A 1020-nucleotide genomic window follows, 5' to 3' on the forward strand; every position below is an offset into this window, starting at 1 on the left:
TCCATACACCCCAAGCTGCTTTCCATTCTCACTCAGCCCCTGACTATTCCTCCCATTCCCCTGCCCAGTACAATAAAAACAGCATGCAGTTAGCTTCCTCCACCCCGGAGGCTGACCAGGACCAGAATCAGCACTTGGATAGTACTGCATGGAATTTTGCCTGTATTCTGGGCATGGTGCTGAACGCTTTACATTCCTAACATAATTTAATCTTCATACATCTGGAAAGGTAAATATATTACCATGATCCCATTTTACAGATGAGCAGATGAAAACCTTATTTCCCTAGGATAACCCGAAGATAGAAATGTGTATTACTCTGTTTTCACATTTGCTAGAAGAAAAACTTCAGGCTGGGCGTGGTGGCTCACGCCTGTAATCCCAGCACTCTGGGAGACCGAGATGGGCAGATCACTTGAGGTCAGGAGTTCAAGACCAGCCTGGCCAATATGGTGAAACACCATCTCTACTAAAAAATACAAAAATTAGCTGGGCGTGGTGGCAGGTGCCTGTAGTCCCAGCTACTGAGGAGGCTGAGGCAGGAGAATCGCTTGAACCCAGGAGGCAGAGGTTGCAGTGAGCCGAGATCACACCACTGCACTCCAGCCTGGGTGACAGGGTGAGACTCCATCTCAAAAAAAAAAAATATATATATATATATATGTATATAGATAGATAGATAGATAGATAGATAGATAGATAGATAGATAAAGAAAAACTTCAGCTGAATTAAATTTAAAGGAGTTTGATTGAGCAATGACCGATTTGCAAATTGGGCAGCCCCCAGAATCACAGCAGATTCACAGAGACTCTAGTGCAGTCACGTGGTGGAAGAGGATTTATAGACAAAAAAAGGGAAATGACGTATAGAAATTGGAGGCGAGGTACAGAACAGCTGGATTGGTTACAGCTTGGTGTGTTTGCCTTATTTGAACACAGTTTGTACACTCAACATTAGATGAATGGTTGAAGTATGGCCGCTGGGATTGGCCAAGACTTGGCTACTGTTACAGGCACATA

The sequence above is a fragment of the Homo sapiens genome, chromosome 7 (assembly GCF_000001405.40).
Source record: "Homo sapiens chromosome 7, GRCh38.p14 Primary Assembly".
Taxonomy (NCBI): Eukaryota; Metazoa; Chordata; class Mammalia; order Primates; family Hominidae; genus Homo; species Homo sapiens.